The 3299-nt window shown below is 41.8% G+C and overlaps 1 pseudogene; it reads left to right on the top strand.

Moving 5' to 3' along the window:
• Positions 866–1986, top strand: MESTP2 (mesoderm specific transcript pseudogene 2; annotated as a pseudogene).
• Positions 1987–3299: the final 1313 nt, after the last annotated feature.

Below are 3299 nucleotides of genomic sequence, written 5' to 3'. Positions count from 1 at the left end.
ATGCTTTGCACAACTCAGTACTGTTTAGATGCTCATTCACCCTAACCTAATCTATAGATTGATGGTAGATTCAGCACAAATCCAACAAATCCTCTAAGTCTCACTTCTTGTCCCAGCCATAACTGTAGAGGCCAGTTTTCAGCATGCTTCAAACACCTTCATAGAAATCTAAACTGACAATGCCTCTCTTAGGCTTCTTTGATGTCAAGTGGCGGGATGCCTGGAGGAACCTGGTTGACAACTCACATACAAGTGCCCCAAAGCTGTGGCCAACAGTATAATGCATTCTTCTATCTTTCTCCTTTCTTGACTCACCCCCATTCCTAAGTTTCAGGATCATACCCACACATAAACATTTTGCGCATCAGCCTTTGTCTCAGGATCTGCTTTTGAGGAATCCAGACAAGACAATGACTGATTCAGCAGACTTGAAAAAGTTGAATCTTATGCCAGCAGTGGAAAAATCCAGGAAGAAACTTGTAGCATGGAAATGTCAAAGGGCTCAGAAGTTAATGACATTGGATACCTCTGGAAGTGGGGTGAAGAAAGGATAAAAACAGAAAGACTTAAAAAAAGCAGTTAGATTTTGAATCTCCTTACCAATTCCATTTACTAGAATGATAGCCTTAGTATCACCTAAGCAGAATTTTTGAGGTTTGTTCTCTCTAGTAAGAGGACTGAGGGCTGTGAGACATTAGGACAATTGAGGATAGAGATTTAGTGAAAATGTACATGCTGAATTTTTAAACCCCTCCTCTCCCTCTTCAACCCTTTCACTTGCTTTGTTTCTAGAATGCTGGCAGTCAGCTTTAGATCCTCTAGACAGGAGATTAGAAGACTCTACACTAAGAAATCCAACTAACCAGCATGCACAACTGATTTCCCCAAACATGAAGTCCTGCAGCCCAGGTCTTAACCTGAATCAGGATGAGGGGATGGTGGGTCAAGGTGGGTCTGTTGAAAGTGCCCCTGCTTGCCACATACCTGCACATCCCACCCCCTCAGCTCTCCCTTGCCCTTCACTCATGGCAGTCTTCAGGCAAGTTTTTCACTTATAAGGGATGGCCTATCTTCTACCAAGACTCTGTGGATGTGGTTGGAAGTCCAGAGATAGTTGTTCTTTTACATGGCTTTCCAACATCCAGCTATGATTGGTACAAGATGTGGGAAAGTCTGACCTTGAGATTTCATTGAGTGATTGTCCTTGATTTCTTAGGCTTTGGCTTCAGTAACAAACTGAGACCATATCACTATTCCATATTTGAGCAGGCCAGCATCCTGGAAGCGCTTTTGTGGCATCTGTCTGTCAACTGGAGATATCTTTTCTGAGACTCACTGTCTACTCCTTCTTCAAAAGCTACTCAAACATGGAGGTGTGCTGTCACCCATCCTCACGCGGCTGATGAACTTCTTTGTATTCTCTCGAGGTCTCACGCCAGTCTTTGGGCCATATACTCAGCCCTCTGAAAATAAGCTGTGGGACATGTGGAAAGGGGTCCGCAATAATGACAGGAATTCGTCTCTGACAGTCTCTTAGAGTACATCAATCAGAGGAGGCAGTTTAGAAAGCACTAGGTGGGAGCTCTTGCCTCTGAAACTATCTCCATTCATTGTTATCTATGGGCCATTGGATCCTGTAAATCCCTACCCAGAGTTTTTGGAGCTGTACAGGAAAATGCTGCTGCAGTCCACAGTGTCAATTCTGGATGACCGTATTAGCCACTATCCACAGCTAGAGGATCCCATGGGCTTCTCTAATGCATATATTGGCATCACCAACTCCTTCTGAGCTGGAAAGAGTAGCTTCCCTCTATTATTTCCCCTACTCGCTTATATGTTGTGTATTCCACTTAGGAAGAAATGCCCAAAAGACATCCTAGCCATCAAACACTATTCTCTCACAAAGTCCACTTTACTCAAATTGGTGAACAGTATGTAGGAAGAAGCCAGCAGGAGCTCTGACTAAGGCTGAGATAATAGTCTACCTCCCATTTCTTTGACATCTGATCAAATGTACAGACTTGCCTTTGTTTTTGTGTTATTAGGAAATTCTGATGAGCACTGCTATTCACTGATGCAGAAAGACGTTCTTTTGCCTAGAAGGCTTTTTAACACTTTGGACTTTTCTGAAGTATTTAGAAGTGCTAATTTCTGGTCCAGCCCCAATAGGAATTCTACAATGAGAATGAGAAGTGGGTTTCTTTACCTCTCCTTGAATGGCTGCTTAAAAGTTCTTTAAGCAACACAGAGCTCAGTCTCCTTTGTTATACCTTTGGATATAGTTTCATCAGCTGTTGTTAATTATAAACATTTTGTTAAAAGACATATTGGTTTAAATAAAGTAGTGTTCTAAGTATGATTTGGGACCATGATTTACCTACACATTACATATATTTTATAAGGATGCTAAACCAACATATCCTTACTCTGTCAGAGTAGTGAACTTAATTAAACATGCTTCATTTCTGAATGAATTGAACTAAATCAAAACTATTTACAGAATTTCCTAAAATCACAGGACATTAAGGACCAATAGCACCTGTGCCAGAGATTTACTATTACTAGCTGGGAAGACCAATTCTAACAGCAAATAACAATCTGAGACTCGTCATACCTCAGTGCTTAGAAGCATGTCTCTCTCGAGCTACCATAGAAGGGAAGAGACTGTTTTGTAGTCCAAATCACCACACAGAATGTACATTGATTCCTTTATGATGACTGCTTAACTTCCCATTGCCTGTTCCAGAGAGGCTTTCTTATGTAGCTCATTTATTCTTGTACTTTACAGACAGGAAAGTTCCAGAAACATTAAGAACAAATTCTGAAAGATCTATAAGCAAATGGTGCTGAATACTTTTTTTTAAAGCCACATTTTACTGTCTTAGTGAAAGCAGGATTATTAAGTGATTATTTAAAATTCTTTTTTTTTTTTTTTGAGACGGAGTCTCGCTCTGTCGCCCAGGCTGGAGTGCGGTGGTGCGATCTCGGCTCACTGCAAGCTCCGCCTCCCAGGTTCACGCCATTCTCCTGTCTCAGCCTCCCGAGTAGCTAGGACTACAGGCGCCCACCATCACGCCCGGCTAATTTTTTTATGTATTTTTAGTAGAGACGGGGTTTCACCATGTTGGTCTGGATGGTCTCGATCTCCTGACCTTGTGATCCGCCCTCCTTGGCCTCCCAAAGCGGCGGAATTACAGGCGTGAGCCACCGCGCCCAGCCCTAAAATTCATATTTTTAAAATAGCAACTTCAAGTATAACAACTTTGAAACTGGAATAAGTGTTTATTTTCTATCAATAA

This window comes from Homo sapiens, chromosome 15 (assembly GCF_000001405.40).
Source record: "Homo sapiens chromosome 15, GRCh38.p14 Primary Assembly".
Taxonomy (NCBI): domain Eukaryota; kingdom Metazoa; phylum Chordata; class Mammalia; order Primates; family Hominidae; genus Homo; species Homo sapiens.
This window is presented reverse-complemented; position numbering and strand designations above follow the sequence as displayed.